General features: G+C 36.0%; 1 long non-coding RNA gene across 1 annotated transcript in view, besides 4 other annotated features; it reads left to right on the top strand.

Moving 5' to 3' along the window:
- Positions 1-24,800, top strand: part of LINC01194 (long intergenic non-protein coding RNA 1194) — a 230,327-nt gene that overhangs the window by 91,042 nt on the left and 114,485 nt on the right. The window lies entirely within an intron of this gene.
- Positions 645-1,183: an enhancer, noted in NCBI's record as "NANOG-H3K27ac-H3K4me1 hESC enhancer chr5:12666655-12667193 (GRCh37/hg19 assembly coordinates)". NCBI's record gives its function as "activates a minimal SCP1, AML or CMV promoter by ChIP-STARR-seq in primed H9 embryonic stem cells {active_cell/tissue: H9 hESC(primed)}" and the evidence as "EXISTENCE:reporter gene assay evidence [ECO:0000049][PMID:30033119]".
- Positions 1,184-1,721: an enhancer, noted in NCBI's record as "NANOG-H3K27ac-H3K4me1 hESC enhancer chr5:12667194-12667731 (GRCh37/hg19 assembly coordinates)". NCBI's record gives its function as "activates a minimal SCP1, AML or CMV promoter by ChIP-STARR-seq in primed H9 embryonic stem cells {active_cell/tissue: H9 hESC(primed)}" and the evidence as "EXISTENCE:reporter gene assay evidence [ECO:0000049][PMID:30033119]".
- Positions 1,722-2,260: an enhancer, noted in NCBI's record as "OCT4-NANOG-H3K27ac-H3K4me1 hESC enhancer chr5:12667732-12668270 (GRCh37/hg19 assembly coordinates)". NCBI's record gives its function as "activates a minimal SCP1, AML or CMV promoter by ChIP-STARR-seq in naive and primed H9 embryonic stem cells {active_cell/tissue: H9 hESC(naive and primed)}" and the evidence as "EXISTENCE:reporter gene assay evidence [ECO:0000049][PMID:30033119]".
- Positions 2,261-2,799: an enhancer, noted in NCBI's record as "OCT4-NANOG-H3K27ac hESC enhancer chr5:12668271-12668809 (GRCh37/hg19 assembly coordinates)". NCBI's record gives its function as "activates a minimal SCP1, AML or CMV promoter by ChIP-STARR-seq in naive and primed H9 embryonic stem cells {active_cell/tissue: H9 hESC(naive and primed)}" and the evidence as "EXISTENCE:reporter gene assay evidence [ECO:0000049][PMID:30033119]".

Raw genomic sequence — 24,800 nt, forward strand, 5'->3', positions numbered from 1 at the left:
CAGTCCAATTTTCAGTGGGGTCTCACACAGATGGGACGCGGCTTAGGAGGAATCCTGTGCTGTGGGCATTCCTTGGCCCAGTGGCCAGATTTCCGGCAGGTGTAGCAAGCTCCTGTGGGAGGAGGTTCTGGAGGAATGCCTGGCCGCTGCGGTTCAGGCGTTTGGAAGTTCTTGTGTGCTGGAGATGTGGCTGGGGTTTGTCTCACAGTGGAGGCAAGGAATTGCAACTTTTTTCTATTGTCGTACACCTTGAAGGCGAGGTTAATTAAATCCTGTTGCGGGGTTTGAAGGCCGGAATTTAATTTTTGGAGTTTTATTTAATGTCGGGAGCAGATTGGGTAATAAAATGTATTTTGAGAATAAGACTGCCTTTTGACCTTTTAGGGTCTAGGGCTGTAAAGTGTCTCAGGGTTGCTGCCAAACAAGTCATGAACTGGGCTGGATTTTTATATTTGATGAAAAAGAGCCTAAATGCTATCTGATTTCGGATAAAGAAAAAGGAGCATTAACCTTGACTATGCCTTTAGCTCCAGCCACCTTTTTAAGAGTAAATTGCTGGGCAGGAGGGGGAGGGCTAGTCACGGAACGAAACTGTAAGCCGGACCAGGTGTGAGGAGGGGAGGCGATAAAAAGATTATAGGGTGGAGGAGCAGAGGCTGAGGAAGAATTGGGACCTAGCTCGGCCTGGCGAGAAGCAGCCTGGGAGGAAGGGAGAGGTCAGATGGGTCTGTAGAAAAGGAAGATTAGAAAGACTCAGGGACGCTTGGGGTTGGTACTGAGGGGACAGGTGGGAGGTAAAGAAGGAAGATTTGGGACGAGTTGCACTGGGCACAGAGACTAGGAAGGGACTGATGTGTAAAAGGATGCCTGGACGTCAGGCACCTCAGACCATTTGCCTATTTTACGACAAGAATTATTTAGATCTTGCAGGATGGAAAAATTCAAAGTGCCATTTTCTGGCTATTTGGAACTACTGTTGAGTTTGTATTGGGGTCAAGAGGCACTGCAGAAGAAAATAAGGCATTTAGGTTTTAGGTCAGGTAAGAGTTGATGAGGTTTTAAGTTTTTGAGAACACAGGCCAAGGGAGTAGAAGGAGGAATAGAGGGTGGAAGGTTGCCTATAGTGAAGGAAGCAAGCCTAGAGAAAAAAGAACCCCCGAACCCCTCCCCTCCGTTTCTCTACTCTCTCACCTTCCAGAAAAGTGGGAAAAGGGGTTGGGGCACAGAGATAAGAGGTTGGGGCACAGAAATAAGGGGTAGGGGCACGGAAATAAGGGGTTGGGGTGCAGAGATAAGAGGTTGGGGTGTGGAAATAAGGGATTGGGGCACAGAGATATAAGAGGTTGGGGCGCAGAAATAAGGGATTGGGGCGCAGAGATACGAGGTTGGGGTACTTGCCCCTCTAGAAAAGCGGGACTTGCCGCTAAGAGTGAAGGAGAAGGGGTTGAGGGGTACTTGCCCCTCCCCCAGAAAAGCAGAGAAGGGGTAGAGACAAGGAGAGAAGGGGTTGGGGTACTTGCCCCTTCCCCAGAAAAGCGGGACTTGCCACTAAGGGCGAAGGACCAAGGCAGGCATCCCTGCGTGGCCTGACACCTTTGAAACGTGGATGAATAATCAGGCGTCCCTGCAATGATTAAACACCAAGGGAAGGCTGCCTTCCCAGTCCGTGACCGGCGCTGGAGTTTTGGGTCCACGGATAAAATGTGTCTCCTTTGTCTCTCCCAGAAAACGAAAGGAATTGAAATTAAGAGAAGGGAGAGACTGAAGAGTGGAAAGGAGAAAGTGGTTGAGGTACAGTGAGAGAGGTTGGAGAAGACAGTAAGAAGAGGCCGCTTACCTGATTTAAAATTGGTGAGATGTTCCTTGGGCTGGTCGGTCTGAGGACCTGAGGTCGTAGGTGGATCTTTCTCACAGAGCAAAGAACAGGAGGACGGGATTGATCTCCCAAGGGAGGTCCCCCGATCCGAGTCACGGCACCAAATTTCATGCGTGTCCGTGTGAAGAGACCACCAAACAGGCTTCGTGTGAGCAACATGGCTGTTTATTCCACCTGGGTGCAGGCAGGCTGAGTCCGAAAAGAGAGTCAGCAAAGGAAGATGGGGTGGGGCCGTTTGATAGGATTTGGGTAGGTAAAGGAAAATTACAGTCAAAGGGGGGTTGTTCTTTGGCGGGCAGGAGTGGGGGTCGAAAGGTGCTCAGTGGGAGTCTTTTTGAGCCAGGATGAGCCAGGAAAAGGACTTTCACAAGGTAATGTCATCACTTAAGGCAAGGACCGGCCATTTACACTTCTTTTGTGGTGGAATGTCATCAGTTAAGGTGGGGCAGGGCGTATTCACTTCTTTTGTGATTCTTCAGTTACTTCAGGCCATCTGGGCATATACGTGCAAGTCACAGGGGATGCGATGGCTTGGCTTGGGCTCAGAGGCCTGACAATAAGTATGATTCACTAAAATATATTAATAAGCTGGACTTTATTAAAATTGAAATTTTCTGCTCTGTAAAAGAAACTGTAAAGAGAATAAAAAGGCACGTCACAGAGTAGGAGAAAATATTTGCAAAAGAAATATCTGACAAATGACAGTTCTTAAAAATATACAAAGAACTCATAAAACCCAACAGTAAGAAAAGGAGTCATCCAAGTATAAAATGGGGTAGAAATCTTTACAAACATCTCATCAGAAAGATATACAGATGGAAAATGAGCATATGACAAAATAGTTAACATCATATATTATTGGAAAAGCCAATATCGGTAGGGCGTGGTAGGGTCAGATGTTGGTCTTTGAATCTCACAGGCTTAACAAAGAAGAGACCCTTTTTAACTTAGGCTGCCTTTACAACAGAGATCAGGGGCTTCTGCTAATTGCAGCCAACCAGAGGCCCAGGCTGCTTTTTCAACAGGCTTCCACTTCTCTAGAGCAGTAGAAATGGGAAGAGGGTATGGCCAACTTCACATTGGCTTTTAAAGCCCTGATAAAAACGTAGCACACCTTATTTTCATGCACATTTCTTTGAACAACGTGAAGCAAGGGAAATATTTGGGGAAACTGTAATACAGATAAAAGCTATACTCCACCTCAGTGAAGTTCATTTGACACCACCAGCGTCATGACACTAATCAGACCGCCAAAGACAGAACTTTTATTTTGATGATTTCCTTTCCCTATTTCCTTTCATGCATCGCCCTCCTTCTTCAATGCCATATGCAGAGAATGACATTAGCTCGTCTCCCTGATCATGAGGACATCCAGTCTTTCATGGGCAACAGACAGCACATACCACACTCAGTTTATTTCATCTCTCTTTTCTAATACCAGAGTTTAGTTTATTTCATCTCTTTTCTAATACCAGAGTTTAACAACCGAGGACATTTTCCCTTGCACATACCGCATCAGTGATAATCTGTTACTACTTCCCTATTTTTATGAGCTTTAATAACAAATACAATCATGATCACATTAAAAGATCATTGATATGCAGTAAGATGACATGTGTTGATCAGACCTTGCCTTTCATGATGAACATGTCTCTAAATTGCCGGAACTGTTCCTGTAATCACTTGTTCCACCAAAGCGTCTTTCCTGGGATCTGAATGGGAATGTGGGTGGGCATCAGCTCTCCTAGTGAATAGCTCCACACCACTAATGGGCCTAATTTACAGACTTTATTCAGGCTGCTGAGTGTGTCTCCAGGAATTTCCCCAGAATCCTGGAATGTCATGTGCCCCTCTAAAAACTAGTGGAAGTCATGTCCTTATTGAAGAAAGCATTCAATTCTATTATCAAGCTATGTATAAAAATGCCAAAAGTCTTTTATGTGGCATTTATAACTCCTCATTAGCATGATCTTTCTAATATTTGGAAATCCTCAAAGCTGCATCAGAGCTTACCTAATTTTAAACTTGATGGGTGAGTAGATTATTTTAGACAGAGTCAAAAACCTTTTTTACTGTCAATTTCACTATCATTTATTGATTATTCTCAGTAATATGGAACTTGCTAAAAATGTTCACAATTTAGTGGATACTTTTCACAATGAATAATGCAAATCCATTCTAAGAATCATGATCAAGTTATCCAATGTTAGACATTTTGAAACATTCCTTCATATAGTCTGGAAAAACATCTAGTACATGTAAGAAGATGAGGATATCATTTTCTTTAATATTTAGTACGTTTGAAATGTGCTTGAAATTCAAAAGCAAAAATGAACCAATATCTCACTCCAGTGAGAGCCTAGATTTAAAATAACACATACAGATTTTTAATAACATAAGTATTGTATAATCTTAAAATGTCTAGCAACGTGATACTTGCAGAACTTCCTGTTTTTCAAAAGAACAGGGCTGAGCTTTTCTATTGATACTTAAGGCTGCATGATAGCCCTTCAGAGTGTAGAGTAGTATAGAAGATTGCTGAAACCTGTAGCTTACTCCATTTTAACATAAGCCTCTTTGAAGTTAACATTTCCTTTTATTTTCATTACATATGATTGAGATATTAATTTTGATTTATTTTAAAACTAGTTTCTTTAATAAATTCTCAGCCCCTACTGTATGGTCATGATGAGAAAGACTTTGAGTGTCCATAGGCAATATTCAGTCATTACATTATATGACAGTATTTCCCAGAACACACCGTATTTTGTGTAATAATGAAATAGAAGTGGAGTTTAGTTATTTTTATTGTGATCACATTTTCTGTAGGAACCATTTGTCTTTGTTTAGATAGGAGTCTTCTGCCTTCCAATTTGTGAACGTTTTTCATAGATGGTTCAAAATCCCTGGGATTTTGCCAATCTAGAACTTGTAGTGTATTTATGCCACACATATGAATTTAGGCACCACATTGAAATGTACCAGAGCTTTATCAACTCCATTTATAATATTTATTTCCATCCATTTGTTCATTTACTTGAAGATCATTTTTCCCAACCCAGTGCTTTGGGTGACAGAGAAGTAAACTTTCTTTGTACTTCCCTAGATCAGAGAATAGTGTTTCTTAGTCATCTTTAAGAAAAAGGACCACTTCCTTCTAAACTTCTATTTTGCAAAAGCTAAGGTTAATTCTCCTTATCGTCTTTACTTTCTGCCCCATGCCTCTGAGGAGAGACTCTTCCCTATTCTCTGCCCTGCTCTCTGAACTCCAAAAATTCACCTGTTTGGATGACATCCAGGCTCTTTCTTACCTTCTGTCTTCTTTTTGTGTCTGGGCAGTATGAAGCCCTATCACACTGAAAGGAGAGAGAAGCGAGGTCAGTGTGGTTGGTTGGAGCCTGGGGTCCCCTCTGCTTGGTCACCTACCTCCTGGTGGCTGCATCTGCTGCAGAGTAGCTCAGCTCCCATAAGGTGGGCCTCCCGACGGCCCTCTGTATTTCCAGTTCAGATAGCACAGCCTTTCTTCTGCCCATCGGGCATAGGGTTACTATCAGCCCATCTTATAGCCCAGGAATCACCCCCATCTCATGTGATTTCCCAGTCACCTTCCTGTATCTATAAAATCTGCCTTTTTAGTAAAATCTTCTCACAGTGTCTTAATCTGACTATGCTGTTTTCTGCTTGACTGTGACTGATTATCAGTCACAGAATAAAGTTTAGAATCCTGTTAATTCCTCATGTCTGTAGTTTATCAATACAGAAGTGCATTTGTTCCTTATTTGGTTTTATCTGGCCAAGCATTTCTCTATCTCTTCCTCTCCCTCCTCCACCCTTGTGTATATATGTGTGGGGGATGGGATGGGGGTGTATGTCTATGTGTATATGTTTCTGTGTGTGGTGTTGTGGGAGAATGAGGCCAATTCCTACCATCATACTGACAGAAATTTACTACCATTATATACAATCTAAACTTGGATTCTACTTCTGGAAACATAACTCTGGGACAGTGCCTGAAATGTGACTTTACAATTTTCTTCAGAGACTTAAATAATGCAGGAAAGCAGAAATACTGGAAAGAAGCAAAGAGGTATCTCTGGATGAGTTCCATTATACCAATAGTGATTCAATAGTAGGAAGATTTACTTTGTGGTTTACTAATCAAATTTACAATGCAAAATGATCCCTCACATTAATAGTCATTAACATATAAGCTAGGCATTTTTTTTTGTCTGAAGCTTTGTTTTTTTAATTAAATACATGTTGAACTGTGCTTGCAACTAAAAAAAAAAAAAATCAGAGAAAGACAACCACATCAGCTGGATTCCTGAGTGCCAGTGGCAACATGAGAGGCTGGAGCTTAGAAAAAGAGGCTGTCTCATATTTTTCCTGACCAAGAGCACATAGAGCACAATCAGAGTCCATGTGTCAAGGGCTACTTTAGATAAGTAATAAGAACAAGTTAAGTGGCCAAGGCAGGCAGATGCTTGAGCCCAGGAGTTGGAGACCATCCTGGGCAACACGATGAAACCGCATCTCTACAAAAATGTAGTCAGGCTTGGTGATTCACAGCTGTAGCTCCAGCTACTTAGGAGGCTGCGGTGGGAGGGTCACTTGAGCCTGGGAGTTTGAGGCAGCAGTGAGCTGTGATCACATCACTGTGCTCCAGCCTGGGAGAAAGAGTGAGATCCTGTCTCCAAATTATAAAAATAAAAATAAAAGATCATGGCCAAATCTATCTTAAAATTTGAGAATTGACCAATTCCAAGGTGGGAAATGAGATTACTCAGAACACTTATTAAAATTGTTAAATATTAGCCACCACTGTCTTCTGGCTTGTAGGGTTTCTGCAGAGAGATCCACTGTTAGTCTGATGGGCTTTCCTTTGTGGGTAACCCGACATTTCTCTCTGTCTGCCCTTAACATTTTTTCCTTCATTTCAACCTTAGTGAATCTGATAATTATTATGTGTCTTGGGGTTGCTTTTCTCAAGGAGTATCTTTGTGGTGTTCTCTGTATTTCCTGAATTTGAATGTTGGCCTGTCTTGTTAGGCTGGGGAAGTTCTTCTGGATAATATTCTGAAGAGTTTTTTCCAACTTGGTTCCATTCTTCCTGTCACTTTCAGGTATAGCAATCAAATGTAGGTTTGGGCTTTTCCCGTAGTCCCATATTTCTTGGAGTCTTTGTTCATTCCTTTTTATTCTTTATTCTCTAATCTTGTCTTCATGCTTTATTTCATTAAGTTGATCTTCAATCTCTGATAGCCTTTCTTCCGCTTGATTGATTCAGCTATTGATACTTGTGTATTCTTTACAAAGTTCTCATGTTGTGTTTTTCAGCTCCATCACGTCATTTATGTTCTTCTCTAAACTGGTTATTCTAGTTAGCAGTTCCTCTAAGCTTTCTTGAAGGTTCTTAGCTTCCTTGCATTGGGTTAGAACAGGATCCTTTAGCTCAGAAGAGTTTATTACCCACCCTCTGAAGCCTACTTTTGTCAATTCTTCAAATTCATTCTCCATCCAGCTTTGTTCTTTTACTGGAGAGGAGTTGCGATCCTTTGGAGGAGGAGAGGCATTCTGGTTATTGCAATTTTCAGCCCGTTTGTATTGGTTTTTCCTCATCTTGTGGATTTATCTACCTTTGGTCTTTGATGTTGGTGTCCTTTGGATGGGGTTTGTGTGTGGACATCCTTTTTGTTAATGTTGATGCTATTCCTTTCTGTTTGTTAGTTTTCCTTCTAACGTTTAGGCCCCTCTGCTGCAGGTGTGCTGGTAATTGCTAGAAGTTCACTCCAGACCCTGTTTTCCTGGGTATCGCCAGCAGAGGCTACAGAACAGCAAAGATTGCTGCCCGTTCCTTCCTCTGAAAGCTTAGTCACAGAGGGCCATCTGCCAGATGCCAGCCAGAGCTCTCCTGTATGAGGTATCTGTCAACCCCTGCTGGGAGGTGTCTCAAGGTCAGGAGGCACAGGGGTCAGGGACACACTTGAGGCAGTCTGTCTCTTAGCAGAGCTCTAGAACTGTGCTGGGAGATCCGCTGCTCTCTTCAGAGCCAACAGGCAGGAACATTTAAGTCTGCTGAAACTGCACCCACAGCCGGCCCTTCCCTCAGGTGCTCTGTCCCAGGGAGACGGGGCGTTTTATCTATAAGCCCCTGACTGGAACTCCTGCCTTTCTTTCAGAGATGCTCTGCCCAGAGAGGAGAAATCTAGAGAGGCAGTCTGGCTACAGTGGCTTTGCGGAGCTGGAGTGGGCTCTGCCAAGTTCAAACTTCCCAGTTGCTTTGTTTACAGTTGAGGGGAAAACTGCCTACTCAAGCCTCAGTAATGGTGGACGCCCCTCCCCTCACCAAGCTCGAGCGTCCCAGTTCAACCTCACACTGCTGTGTTGGCCGCAAAAATTTCAAGCCAGTAGATCTTAGCTTGCTGGGCTCCATGGGGGTGGGACCCACTGAGCTAGACCACTTGGCTCCCTGGCTTCAGCCCCCTTTCCAGGGGAGTGAAAGGTTCTGTCTTGCTGGCATTTCAGGTACCACCAGGGTAAGAAAAAAAAACTCCTGCAGCTAGCTTGGTGTCTTTCCAAATGACCATCCAGTTTTGTGCTTGAAACCCTGGGCCCTGGTGGCATAGGCACCCTAGGGAATCTCCTGGTCTGTAGATTGTAAAGAATGTGGGAAAAGCCTAGTATCTGAGCCGGAGTGCACTGTTCCTCACTGCACAGTCTCTCACGGCTTCCCTTGGCTAGGGGAGGGAGCTCCCCAACTCCTTGGGCTTCCTGGGTAAGGCCACGCCCCACCCTGCTTAGGCTCTCCCTCCGTGGGCTGCACCCACTGTCTAACCAGTCCCAGTGAGACGAGCTGGGCACCTCAGTTGGAAATGCAGAAGTCACCTGCCTTGTGCATTGATCTCGCTGGGAGCTGCAGAATGGAGCTTTTCTTATTTGGCCATCTTTGGTCACCTCCAATATTAATGATTATGATTCAACATGGGATTTTGGTGGGGACACACATCCGAACTATTTCAGAAAGCAAATCAAATTATAAAAAGAAATATATGTAAGATCAACTTGTTAAATAATATAAATTGAAATACATAACATATTTGTAAAAATAATTTTAAAATAGCAGACTCAGGATTCGTGTGGCATTTAAAATAATTAAAACATTGTAGGACTAGACATGTTTATAGCCTGTGTTTAAAAAGTAAGTCATCCAACAAAGAAAAAAATAAAAAAACTTAATGAAGTCCTTTAGTATTTGTGCTAGATGGTGTAAAATTATATATAATCTGTAGTCATCATCATTATTCTGAAGATGGCATGCAAAAATCGATATGAAGATTTCCATTTGATAAGAAAAATATATTCTAAAATAATCAAGAGAATAGATACAACTTTTTGTCGTGAGAATAAGATTCTGAATTTTTTACAGTTGTAGAGGTTGTAATGTACAAAAAGTCTGTGCTTCATATCCCTCAGGTATGACAAGTTAAAAATTATGTGAGAATGGAAGATACACTTTATAAACTAGCAAGCTCATAATTGTTAGAGTACTCATGCAGAGCTTAAATTCTTGTGGACTTGTACTGTTGGGGAAATGAGTCCTAAAAATGTCTGAACTCTCATTTGAAGATATAATTTTGTGATTTTATGCCTATGCTAATGACTTCTCATTAGGTAGTATACATATAATTTTTATTTAAAATATAATGAAGTGTGATTTTATATCAGTTAAATAGTTAATATATAAGCAGTAAGTAGTTTGGAATTGTGTAACAGAAAAGTCAACTGAAACTTTTGCAAGCATAATTGATTGGTTCATTAAATGAATTTTTTATATAAAATAGATATTAGAAAGATTGAAAAGTGGCCAAAGGGCCTTTGTGATTCTACTTTGTAATATAAAGGATGGTTTCTTACTACGGTTGGTGTCCTTGCAGGAGTGGGAATATCATTGTAATATTCAACCCAACATGCTTCCTCAGAAAGTCCAGCTAGATTTTAATGATGCTTTCTGAAGTTCTTCCAAAAACAAAAAATAATAAGGAACCTTCTTTCCCAAAAGATACAAACATGCCTATCCTCATATATCACTGACCTGAATGGACCACAGTCTTTTCTAGTAAAAGACTGCAGCAAGAGTTATGAAACTGTTATAAGACCAACAGGTTTGTAGGACTGCTGCACAGCAACAGATCAATACGCTGAGACAGCAGAACTTGCAGCAGAGAAAGAGTTTAATGATCACAGGGCACTGAGCGAGGGATGGAAGGAGATCCTCAAATCCATCCCGTCTTCTGGTTTTGGGATTTTGAGGGGATCGTGGAGGGCAAGGAACTGGAAATTTGGGGTCATTGATTGGTATGGCTATTGGGATGCGGAAACTGCATTTTATGTTGAGTCAGCTATTTGTAGGATCTTTCAGACCCGCTAGCATTAGTAGTTTCACTGGTATGCAGAACCTAAAAGAATATCTCAAAAGGAAAAGTTAATATTTCTTAATATTCAAGTTGTTATCTATAGAGCAGTTAAGGCAATTATAATCTTGTAACAGGGTCTATGTGATTCTGAGGCAATAAGCAAGCAACTATGAGGGAGTAAGTCAGAGAGTGTATTAGTCTGTTCTCACACTGCCATAAAAAACTACCTGAGACTGGGTGATTTATGATGAAAAGAGGTTTAATTGACTCACAATTCTATAGGCTGTACAGAAACCATGGGTAAGAGGCCTCAGGAAACTTACAATCAGGGAAGAAGGCAAAGGGGAAGCAAGCATGTCTTACCATAGCAAAGCAGGAGGGGAGAGCAGGGAGGGAATTGCCACACACCTCTACACCATCAGATCTCACAAGAACTCACTATTATGACTGATAACAGGAAGGGGGAAGGGATCCCTCATGATCCAATCACCTCCCACCAGTTCCCTCTCCCAACACATGGGGATTACAATTCAAGATGAGATTTGGGTGGGGACACACAGCCAAACCATATCAGAGAGCAAGATGACCCAATGATTAATGCTTAATATGCTGCAAGTTTGGTTTATTTTCATTTCTCCCCTCTTTTTTCCTGATTAATTTCATAAAGTTTATAGGGATGGTTTTGAATTTTTTCCAATTAGTTTCATCACACTTTAGTCATGAAATGAATGTGGAATCATGTGATCCTACAACTCATGTAGTGCATGAGGAAATAGTGGACATTTGAATAAACCAGGGTTCTGTTTCAAGGGATGAAAGAGAAAGGAAGAGTTGATTTTGGAAAAGTTACAAAAAAAATTACACGGTGTAAAACAAAAAATATTAGCTTGTTTAAATAATGCATCTGACATAAAACATTTTGCTGCACTTATGAGATACTGTTACTGTTAGAAATTTTAATGTGAAATATTATAATAGAGTATCATTGATACTAATATAAAATACTTCAAAAATTATAAAAATAATTACATTTTTGGACAGCCAAATTAGTGGTAGTCACCTCATTGTGAAGTTCTCCATAAATCTTGTCAAATCTTCTGACACATTTTGTAGATCATATTAAACTATGCCAAAAGTCATGGCTTCAGAAAAACTTCAAGGAAGGGAACCCTACATACTTTAATAAACTGGTGAATTGAAAAATCTATTTCTAGCAGAGAAAACAGTTGAGATCATGCTGCAAGTCTTCGTGGGGAGCAAGAAGATGAAAACAAAGTACCAAAACAAAAGAAGCAAACAAGTAAAACAACACAGAAACAAAAACCAAAACAAAACATGTATGGAAGAGAGAACGTGACATTGAGGGCATAGAGTGCACAGACACAAGTGAGGTAGTCTTGGGCAAAAGATGCTTCTGAAGGAGAAGCAAGTGAAAGGGAAGCTGGTGGAGGTGAACTTTGAAAGCAGCTGGCAAAGGAAAAAGAAACAGAAAAGGAGAGCACAGGATTCTGAGAAACAAGACTTGGGCCAAGGGAATAGAGTGAGCCTTAAATATACTTCATTCTAGATCTAAGATTCCAGTAAAACAGGAAAAAGGGTGAAAACTAAGATATAAATATTGAACATACTGTCGCAATAGAAATAATGCAACTAAAACCACGGGAGGGAAACAAAGTGGGGAAGAGAAACAGCACATTAATGGTAGAAGCAGTAGATGGAAATCAAAAACATCATTGCCACTAACACAAGGATAATAAAAGGGTAAATACAGAAACAGGGGGTTAAGTGTTCCAAAAAACATATAAGCACAAAGGTAACCACTAGAACAAAAATATAAACATTTTTAGATTCCAAAAGAATTTACAAAGAACAAAAGACAGCACCCAGTACAAAAAATAAAGCAGGGCGAACATAATATATTACACATAGTAATAATTATAACAGAATAATAAGACAGAGAATACATCAAACTGACCTATCCCATCAATAAAAAAATTATAAAATTAGCCAGTTATTTACAAAAAATATTTTTAATTTAACTTACAAAGATTTGTTTACTGTATATAAGACACAATGCATTAACACAAGGTAATTCAGGTGGCTAAAAATAAAGAGATTGACAAAAGAATACCAGATAAATGAAAATAAAAAGAAAGCAGAATTTGTGTTTTTAATAATAAACATCTTAAAATGCATGCCAAAATAACTGAAGGAGCCAAGGGAAGACTGCGTTTCAGTGTTAAATAATGAATCACAGTAAAGATGTAAACCAGTATACACAAGCAGCAGATAAGACAGAAACTTTGTAAAGCAGAAACAATAGTAGATTCAAGGAACCATAGATAGAAATAAACTTATAAAAGTAAAATAAATAAAAAGTCACCACTGTCAGCATAATACTGATAAAACTGACAATATGCAAGACCTAACTGCATCATGAATAAAGTCATTGGTAAATACAGATATCAAACTATATACCCTAATAATAGAGAATATAAATTATTTTTATGCACTTAGAACATTTATTTTTTTAATTTTATGAAGAGAACAGCAATAAATGCCATAGAGTAGAAATATTTTTTAAAGTTTCCAATAATAATACATTAAAACCAGATATCTGATAGTAACTGCAAAGCCAAAGGCCATTTTAACTGAAAATTAAATAGAAATATTATATTCAATACCTCTTGCTTAAAATTGGTATATAAAAAATGTAATGAAAGAATCATAATCATACCATATTACTACATGTTGTGTATCTAAAACAGTGAAATGCCTAGGTTTATGCCTGAAGCACATATAATCAAAAATTTAAAAAATTAAATCCAATCTCAACACAGCAAAAAAGTACAAGGACAGAAATCATATAAAATCAGAAATTATAAGAACAAAAACAGATGAAATTACTAATTATAAGTCCTCTTTTTGATTAAATAATAAAACAACCTACTATCTAACATAATAAAGATGGAATAAAAATCTAGAAAAATTAAGATGTGACAAAGAAATAACTATTGCAACAAATTACATTAGCAAACAACAGATTTTGCAATCTTTATCTAAATAAATTGAAAACAAAAAATAGAAGTATATAATTTATCAAATTTGAGCCCATATAAAGTCTAAAACTTCAAATATATCGATTTCTATAGATGAAGAGAAATAGTTATTAACAGATTATACTGTATAAAAGCAATAATTCTGGCTAGTTTAATCTTCAAAAACCACATAGGCTTAGTACTCAATGAATTATTCCAGAGCATATAGAATGAAGAAAAATGTCCAAATTATTTTTATGACTAAAGGGTAACATTTATACCTAATTTTGAAATTTTAGCTTCCTAGAGCCGCTTTCATAAAATTCCATAACCTGAGGAACGTAAAGAACAGACATTTATTGTCTTACAGTTCTGGAAACTGGAAGTCCCAATTTAAGGACTCAGCAGAGCCATGCTCCCTCTGAAACCTTAGGGGAATTTTTCCTAGCATCATAAGAAAAGCAGTCATGGTTTTCTTTGCACTAAAGTGCGAGATACAAATAAAGACAATTTGCACTCATCAATTAAAGTTAATTCAAAAGAACATTCTGAATCATTTTATATAATACATATTTATAATTATAAATTATTTTAAATATATAAAATATGTATTTTATATAATACATATTTATAATTAAATAATTAAACAATTTATAATTAACTTATTCAAATAAATTTAAATAATTAATTTATTTAAATAATTTATTTAAATTAAATAAATTTAAATAATTGAATGATTTATTTAAATTAAATAATTCAAAAATATTTAAAGAGTATTGATATAAAATAAAACATATTTGAAAGTTCTATCAGGATTCTAACAGTCTCTGCTTAGTTATAAATCAATCAAGCATTTTGAAAATATTCAATATATAATTCAAGTACCAAGAAGATATAAGAAAAAATATTTCTATGGTTGTAGACTTATGATCAAATTTGTGGCAAACTGTACATCTACTAAATGAGAAAATAAATTAGAGGACATAAATTTGAAAACTGATAAATATTTCAGTATGTCAAATAAAACTATCTTTCTGATTTACCTAAAATGTAGAATTCAAAGCTTAGGATATGGTGTATTGGGTTTTGTTTATCTTGAAGTTTTGGAAAAAGCAGCATCTGAAATAATATATCAAAATTTATTATCAGTGTGCAATGGATTAAATATTGTATTCATGTATAGAGAGTGACCATAAGATGTGAGGTACAAAGTCTAGAGTTGTGGTCAAATACTTAGAAAAATTATGGAAAGTTATATTTACCTCTGTGTTAGTCTATTTATCTGTACGTAATTAAAAGATATAAATTAATTATCGCATTATCTTATTGTTATATTGGATATTTTGTAATCTTCATCAAAGAAGATAAAGATTTTAATAACACATTTGAAAAGTTGGGACTTAAAATTATAAAACATAGACAGTATCTGTAGCTTGAATGGAATTGTGTCTGGATGGATACATAAATCAAGCTGACATTTTAGCAAGTCTCAGATATTCATTGTTACAGAAATAGAGATTCGAAACTATTTGGATATTTGACAAAAAAGCCATACGTTTTATCTTAATATATTACATTATGACAGAGATGCAAATAGTCATTTAATGGTACAATAAATATTTGATTAATCCAAACTGGCAAATTTATTGGAGCAAAAGAGTGATTCCATAATTTAGATTGAGATATTGAATAAAAAATATATATATATAATGAATCAGTATAATAGGCTAGTATGCATAAAGAGTTAAATTTCTTCTGATTTGAAGTATGTATAAAGCACCTAGTTAGCCTATTTTTAGAGTAGCTGTAAGGTGTTCAGGCATTACTAACTTTGCAGAGATGACATTAGAAGACAGAAAAAAAGAGCTGGTATGATTTTCACTTAATAAGAAGCTTAATTATTCCTTGTAGCTCAAGCTTGAACAAATGGTTGTATTAGTTCTGCATAGCATATGATGAATTTTGATTGTGACCTTACTTACAAGTGAATACTTTTCTCTAATAGAGAATATAACTTATTTTATCTAAACATTGTATATTTATTATTCACTGTAAACTTTTGTGATAATGGAAATGCAAACAAAACACCCCCTGTAGAAGTTATTGATGTTGTACTTAGAAAAGTATAGTATGATATGTACTATTTGATTGGCCGTGTGATTTTATAATATATAGTATAAGCATATATATCTTGAATTCTTAATATTTTTGTTCTATCATCATACACGGACAGTACTATGCTTTATTTTAAAAAACAATATTTATGTGTATTTAAGTATTACATTTACAATAACTATTCGTTATCCCCTATAAATATAAGACTTTGCATTTATAAGATCTATATTGCATCATATAATAACAAAATAAATAAAATGTATATACTAATGCATATATAAAAATATATACATATACATAAGCTAACATATAAACATATCCTCATGACTAGATACACTCTATTGGAAGATTTTAAAATGGAAATTAAGTTTTTAAAAATTATTTTGAACTGAATCTTTCGGGGCAGAGGAGTCTGTACCCTCTAAGCACAATTTATCCTTTGTGTTACAACAATTCAATTACACTCTTATAATTATTTTAAAAGGCACAATTAAATTATTATTGACTATATTCATTCATTGTGATATCAAATATTAGGTCATTCTTTCTTTCTATTTTTTTAACCTATTAATCATCCCATTAATCATGAGTTTGAGTTTTTGACATTGTGTTGTAAGCCCTTCTCACCCAAAGGCTTAAGTGTATTACATATGTATTCCCCAACTTTTAAATTACCAAACATAGATAGATTTCCTCCATAGACAAAGCCATTATTCTGACTTTTCTGGTAATAATTTCTTTGCTTTATTCAGAATTTCATAACCTGTCATATATTTATAGTTTGGGGAAAATGACCACAAATTTAGTGGCTTAAAATAACACCCCTTCATTATTTCACAGTTCTATTGACAAGAAGCAGGGCAAGATGTGCCTGAATTAGCTGTTCATGGTATATCACAAAGTTGAAATCAAGGTGCTGGCCAGGTTGAGTTCTGGTTCAGAAGCTCTAGGATAAAGTCTGCTTCCAAGATCCTGTAGATTATTGGTATTATCTAGTTCCTTGCTGGTTGTCAGCTGGAAGTAGATCTCAGCTCTGAGAAGCTGTTCTCAGGTCCTTTTCAGGCAACCTCCTCCATCTTCAAGCCAGCAACTGCTTGTGGAATTCTACTTATGTTTCACATTTTTCTGCCTTCCTTCCCTGCAACAAATCCTTTAAAATAAACTATGCTATTAAAGAGATAAATCCCTTTAAAAGAAACTATGCTATAAAAGAGATAATGTTATTAGATTAGGATTATGCAAATAATCTTCCTATTTTAGGGTCAACTCTGCCCTTTAGCATAATCTAATCACAAAAGTGTTATACATCATATTCAGAGTTCCAGGGAATATGCAGAATGGTGTATACCAAGTGGGGAGGAAAATCTTGTGGGCAGTCATAAAATTTTGCCTATCACATTGCTTATGTATTATTCTTCCCTAAATATTGCATAAAGTTTTCTGGTCTTGAGTTTTACATAAATTGTATCAAACTGAATTTATGCTGGTACTTATACATTTTTCCTGCAGTCTTAGGTTTGTGAGAATTCTTTTTGATACTGAAATTGCACTAGTTTATTAGCTATTGTTGCAATATAATACTCAATGGTATAAAAATATGAAAAACTAATTTGTCCTTTCTCCTAGTGATAAAAATCTGGTTTGATTCCAATTTGGAGCAATTAAGTATAAAGCTAACATAAGTATTCATGTATGCATATCTTGACATATATATATACCAGAGTTCTTTAAGAATATACATTTAGAAACAGTTTTTGGACCCCATTTTGTCACCTTTTCAAATTTCTTCATAATAACAAACCATTTTCAAAAGTGTTTCAGCCAATTAATACATCAAAAATCAGTTTATGAATTTCTGTGTTTTTACAACTCTGCCAACACGTGGTTGTGGTGGCCCTTCAAAAACAAAAATGTGTTTGCTAATTAGGTGAATATGTAAATGTATCTGTAATGGTCAATATCAAGTGTCAACTTGATTGGATTGAAAGAGGAAAAGTGTTGTTCCTGGGTGTGTCTGTGAGGGTGTTGCTAGAAGAGATTAACATTTGAGTCAGTGGACTGGGAGAGGCAGACCCACCCTCAATGTGGGCGGGCGTGATCCAATTGGTTACAGGTACAGCTAGCAGCAGGTGGAAGAAGGTGGTATAAGCTGGCTGGCTGAGTCTTCTGGCTTTCATCTTTCCCTGGTGATGGATGCTTCCTGCCCTTGAGCATTAGACTTCAGGTTCTTTAGCTTTTAACTATTGGACTTAGACCAGTGGCTTGCCATGGGCCACAAGCTGAAGGCTACACTATCGGCTTCCCTACTTTTGAGGTTTTGGGACTTGGACTGAGCCACTACTGGTTTCCTTGCTCCTCAGCTTGCAGATGGCCTATCGTGGGACTTCACCTCCTGATGATGTGAGTCAGTTCCCCCTAATAAACTCCCTTTCATATATATGTGTGTGTGTGTGTTTGTATATATATTTATGTGTGTGTATATATACACACACACACACACACATACATACATATGTATATGTATTCTATTGGTTTTGTCCCTCTCGAGAACCCTGACTCATACAGTATCTCATTATGGTTTGAATTCACTGTTCTATTATTAATAATGAGATTTTAAGTATCTTTAATTTTTTTGGTTATCTGTCTTTACTAATTTTGAAGTTCTTATATTTTACTTACTGATTTCTAAAATCTTTCACCTCCCCTACTGCACCCTTATCCCACTTATTCAAAATGCACATTGCAAAAATTTACTCAGGCTTGTCTTTAATGTTTTTCCTTTTTAAGTCCTAAATTTGCATGGAATATATGGATAGAGATAGTAATAGAAATTCAATTTCATGATGTTTTCCACATAGGATACCAGTTTTACTCAAATAGCAACATGAAAGGAAAGAGAGAAAAATATAAAAGCATCTTAAATAATTTCTATGACAAAAATAACAATAATCAAAACTAAATAAACCTTAGTAATGAAGTGTCATCCATATTATTGCAAATGAGATAAAAATGAGAGAGACATGTAAATATTGGGGTCAGAAAATTCATGTTACATGTATTTCAAGTGTGTAAAGCAAGGATTAGCAAACTGTGGCCTCTGTGTCAAATGTTTCTGTACGTAAGATTTTATTGGAACATAGTCACATCCATCTACTCTCCTGTTGTGTATAGTTACTTTTATGTTGCAATGACAGAGTTAGGTAGTTGTAACAGAGAATGCGTGGTTTCCAAAATCTAAAATATTTTCTATCTGCCACTTTACAAAAGAAGTTTGCCAATCCCTTGTCTAAAGAATAATGTAGAGTGCTATGAATAAGCACTACTTTTTGTGTATGAAATGTAAAATAAAAGATATTTTATATAAAAGTTATATAAAAGTTATTTTGAAACATTTTATAGCCATAGGATAACTACTGAGCCTTTTACAGAATATGTATTACAAAGCCTGATTTATATACTTCTGCCATTTTTTATTGTTATGTAATAAAGTTACTCTTTAGTACCCACTAATTAAGCTTTAGGGTCAAAATCCATCCCTATTAGGTCTATATGGTGTTCCACAAGCTCACAGGGTGAGTCCCTCCTTTACTTGCTTATGCGTTTGCCTGTTACACCTATTTTTATTCATTCTAAAGGATAGATCCTCTCCTTAAAAGACCAGAAACCATGATACTTGATGTATAAAATCTTTTCTTTTTAACCGTCCTTTAATTATGTCATTTCCCAAGTAATACACTTTTTATGTTCATTCCACTAATTTTTTCTTGTAAAAGGTTCATCTTGAATTGTTCACATTTTCATCACTTATGTGCCTGTGGATTAAACATCATCTCAATAGATTATGTTAGGCAACTGATTACTAAGCAGTTATTCAATAAACATCTTTGTTAAAGGCATTATGTGAATAACTGGTCACCCTTTGTTAAAAGCATTATGTGAATAACTGGTTAAGCAAAAAATAGACTGTTACCTTTGTTAAAGTCATCTTTGTTAAGGGCATTATGCCAATAACCAGTTAAGCAAAAAAAAAAAAAAAAAATAGACTACTCTAATACTGGTTTCAAAACAGCCTGAATTTGCTCATGAGTGTTAACAGTTTCTTCGTAGTTTTCCCTGGGTAAAGACAGGAACAATTGAATGTAATTTGGATTCCCTAAACCCAGCTTGGCTTAACAACTTTTTATTTTATGCTTTTAATTGACATATAATAATTTTACATATTTATGGGGTACATAGTGATGTTTTAAAAAAATAATATATTATGATCAGATTATAGAAATTAGCATATCCATTTTCTCAAATATTTACCATGTTTTTGTATTAGGAACATTCAATATCTTCCTTGTAACTTTTTAAAAAAGGATTAGATCTATTATTACATATATTGTGTGATGGTTAATTTTATGTGTCAACTTGCCTGGGCTAAAGGATGTCCAGAAAGCTGGTAAAACATTATTTCTGGGTCTGTCTGTGGAGGTGTTTCCAGAAGACTATATACAATGTATTACATGGTTTATAGTTCAAGCGTTTTATCCCTTCCAATGTTGAGATGCATATAGCTTTTTCCTTCTGGAATTAATTCCAAAAAAATTAAGGAATAGTATACATATCTTTGGGTACACTAGGTTTTGCAACAACCTTCTTTTCCCCTGCTGTCTTTCAAAGTTATCTTCATAATAAATCAAATGTCTGCACACATGTAGACTTAAAAAAAGTTTTTTTTTTGCTGGCTCTATCCTGAAATGTTCTATTCTTTTGCTGATACCCCACTGTGTCAAATATTGTAGTTTATAATATCCTTGGTATTTGATAGAGTAAACACCTGCATTTTTCTTCTTCAGTATTGTGTTGATTAATCTTAGTTCTTTGCATTTCATTATATTTAAAATCAGCCTGATGATTTACACAAAAACGAAAACTATTTTATTGATATTTTATTGTTTCAACAGTTTGAAGAGAATTTACATCTTTAAAATATATCCTATAAGTTCTATCAATATACTTTTGTAGTTGTGCATTGCTTAATATCCAAATGTTTGAATATACACAAATTGTCTTTGTATTATTTATTCTTAGCTTGATTTTGCTGTGTTCTGGTAATATGATCTAAATGTCTAATAACTATAAAATGACTAATTTATTTGCCTTTAAACTACTTTTCTGTCTATTCGACCCAATCATGGTTTGTATGTTGTGCTTTCTTCATTTCTTGATCTTTTATTAGATTATTAGAGTACCTTTATCATTTTATTTTCCCTATTACTATTTGTTTAATTATTGGGGGAGGGTGCTATCCTAGAGATTGTAGAATGTAAGCCTGACTTAATAAAGTCTAAAATTAATCTGTGCTTTAACAGCTTATCAGGCAGTTCTTTTTCCATCTTTTACACTCAACATGCCATATTACAGTCATGGTCATATATTTTTATTTTGTATGCATTTTAAACTTAACAATGTATTTTAATTATGTTTACTACATCAATGTCTATTTACATATATAAACATATTTATCTTTTATATTGTTCTTTTTACCTATCTGAGTTTTCATTTTTCTACCTGGGATACATTTTATCAGTCTGAATATTCCCATTTTTTTAGCTCTACTCTGACAAATTATGTTATTATTTATCCTAATTTATCTTTATGTTGTCTTCATTTTTAATGTATATTTTTCCTGTGAACAGACTTCTCAGCTGGCAGTCAATTTAGCTCAACAGTTTAAATATATTGCCTCCTTGTCTTCTTTTATATAAAATTTTTATATACTCTGTAATAAATAAGCTATCTGTGAAGTTGCTTTTTTGCATTATGATATCACTTTTTTATGAATTAAATATTTTTTGTCTCTTTTTTCCAGCATTTTAACATTTGATATGCCTAGATGGTTTTTTACTTTACTTTTTAAAAAAAGCTTTGCTTTAGGTTTATATTGCTTTCTGCATTTGTGATTTAGATGATTTTATCACATGAAAATAATCGTCAGAATTCTTGCTTGGTTAGTTCTCAACAACTCCTCTTATTTCATAATCAGCAAAACCTGTGGCAAAGTGGATCTTAATAATTTTAATCTTAAAGCCTCTGGCATTTCTTTCATAGATAAAAGCTCTGCTGTCCTTCTCTAACTTGATTTTCTTCCACATTTATGTTCAGATTTTTAAATTTATTCTGAGGTTGAGAGATAATCCAAAACAATGAAAGCTGTTATTTCTAGAACAATAATACAAATAAAGTTTTAGAGATAATCAATAGTAATTTTTTTCTAAAATATCCTAGAATCTCAAAAAGTTCAATACATAAGTTACTAAAGCATAATTATTCTGAATAATTGTTGTAAAGTAACACCTGGCTTTAAAAGAAAATCTGCTTACAAATATGCCTATTATTTTCTTAAATATAGAATTATGGCGAGAATTACGGTTACCAATTCGACTATGAGAAGCTTCATAATATAGTATCTTCATAAAAACGCACACACAAAAATGTTTGGAATGTAAGGAATTCCCTTTATAGTTATTAGCCTAATATAGTTTGCATCTATTGTGTATTAGTGTATACTAGATAAGGTAGCATAGTATATATAAATATACAGTTAATAGCATATATAATTTGAAGGATGAATTTGTGATAAAATATATAGCTATTTACTCTTTCATATATATTTCAAGTAACTTCATCGGGATCCTAAAACAAATTGCAGTTGTTAACATTTGAGAAGGATGACGTTGCTCTTACTGATCAATTTTGTGAGACTAATATTATTTAATAAAATTTGTTCCGTTGAGGAATGTTAATGTGCGTGCCCTCAATGTAGAAGCATTAAGAACTTTCTTGTGGTGGTGCTTTTTTTTTTTTGAGACAGGGTCTCGCCCTGTTGCCCAGGCTGGAGTGCAATGATGTGATCTCAGCTCACGGCAACCTCCGCCTCCCAGGTTCAAGCGATTCTCCTGCCTCAGCCTCCTGAATAGCTGGGACTACAGGCACCCGCCACCACGCCTGACTATCACGGTGCTTTTAATCAATAAAGGACTGTAGTTGATGAACATATTTTTTAGTTCCTTTACACCTTGGGTGGGATAACCTAAGGTGTAAGGGAACTAAAGACATGCGGTACATGTCTTAAACTGTCTTCCGATGGCACCTTCAGAATATCTCTCTAGGAACTTGTTTTGCTTCACTTTCTCATTTCCTCACTTCCCTGTTAAAGTTTCCACGGATCCCATTCCAAACGAAACACACGTGAAGTCCAACCCTGTTTTCAGAGTCTACCCAAATTGACAGAACGGCCTTTCTTGTTCCCTTTGTTTATTCAGCATTATCTTCCTAATCCTCAGGCACTGGCTTCCCGAATGTGTCATTCCTCTCAATATGCCTTTCACTTGGGTCATTCTTTATGTCGTCCCATCCTGTGCCATGACTTTATCCCTTTTCTGTTGAGACTCTAATTTACATCTTCCGTCTCTTCCCCTCTCTCGGAACCCTAGACACACGCATCTACTGCTCACTCACCATTTCCATTTGCAAACCTAAAAAAATTATTCAACTTACTGTGTCCAAATTTAAGCCTTACTTCCTCTATCACCCACTTATCCTTCTGGGTCCTAATTTTTTTCTTTTCTGGGTAATGTCAACTACATTTTTGTGGCTTATTCATTACAAATTATTTAGAGCCATTATTTACTCCTGTCTTTCAAAAAAATGTTTGGCTGAGCTGATAGGGTCATCTCTGCTTTTGAAATGCAGATGAAATCTGACCACTTATTTTATACTTCTGCCCTTGTCAAAACTACCATATTTAGATTCCAATATATTTTTCTTATTTCCTGCCTTGCCACTCTAGGACAGATACAGTCATCTTGTAAAAATTATGTCAGACCATGGTACTTTTCTGTTCAAACCTCCATGGACTCTTTGTCACTCATGTTAAGATATAAATATCCTACTTTGGTTTATATTTCTTGACATGATCTGGCCTCTCCACCCACTTTGAACATCTTCTGTCACTGGCCTCGTCACTCACTCCATGCAAGCCTGTGGCCTTCCCATGGTGTCTGCAGCACATCAATACTGCTCTTTCCTCTAAGCAATTGCTTTTGCTTTTCTCTACACCTGGAAGACTATTCCAAAAAATGGCTCCATGATTTCTTCTCTACTTTATTTTCTTGCTCTCTGTAAATGTCTATCTGAGAGTTGCCGGAAAACTCTATGGTAAAATGATGTTCCTGTATCATTCGTTATTTCCATACCCTGCTTACTTTGCTTCATAAAATTGATTCCAATCTGATATTGTTTTATGTGTGTGTAGTGTGTCTGTACTTCTGTGTTGTTTTATTTTTTTCTCCTCCATTAGAGTATAAGTACTATGGTGGCAGCAATATTGTCTGTTGTGTCAGGTATTGTATCACCAGTGCCTGGTTTATAGCATTTGTTTAATAAATACCTGTCTAACAAATGAGAATGTGGATGGATGATTTTGCTGCAGTATAAGTTAAAAGACAGTGGAACAATTTTTATAGGCTACCAAAAGCAAAAAAAATTTAGTACTAAGTTGAACAAGTAGAAGGACTCTGAAATGGTTTTGTTCTTATACAATTGAAGAAATCAAAAAGTTCTTTTATGATATTTTCTATAATATTTCTAATTAATTCATACATCTCCTCTAGCACATTGTAAAATAATTAAAATGCAAGAACAAAAGGGAAATACATACGTTGTCCAAAAGATCACCAGGATGGTTAAGTATTAATAGTAAAATGGAGAGCTTTATTGGTGATGTTGGTTTGCAAAATGGGAAGAGACAACAATCTCTGGTGTGTGCCAAAGGTGCTCTCTCTCAGAAAAGGGGAAAGGCAGGTAGTTTTATGCCTCACAGGGTCTGTTTCACACAACAGAGTCATACATATTCACCAAGTTTGGGGAGAAATTTATAGATATTTATGAGATAGTTGAGCACATGAGCAGTGGGTTAAATGTATATGTAATATACAACCCATGCTCACTTTGGGGTAAGATTTCAACATTAAAATTAGGTAGAATTTGGCTCTTTAGGTCAAAAGGTGAACAATAGGACACAAAGACAGTTCGTGTGCAGTCTATATAAGCTGGCTGAAACTGACTTAAAGTCTGCAGTTCCTTATTAGGAAAGAATATTTGTAAAGCCCTTCCTCTGTCCAGTCAGAGTTGTAGTGGTCTGGGTTGTAAATCAGTGTTAAGAGGTGTCTTTACATTTGCTTGAAAGCTCTTTTTCTTACAGAGTTTAGCAAGAATGAGATTTTTCTTACAGCCAAAGGAATTTAGAGCTTTGCCATGCCAGCCAATTCCTGAACCGTCAACTCATAGCAAACTTTTTTTCCTTAACCT

Source organism: Homo sapiens, chromosome 5, assembly GCF_000001405.40.
Source record: "Homo sapiens chromosome 5, GRCh38.p14 Primary Assembly".
Lineage (NCBI taxonomy): Eukaryota > Metazoa > Chordata > Mammalia > Primates > Hominidae > Homo > Homo sapiens.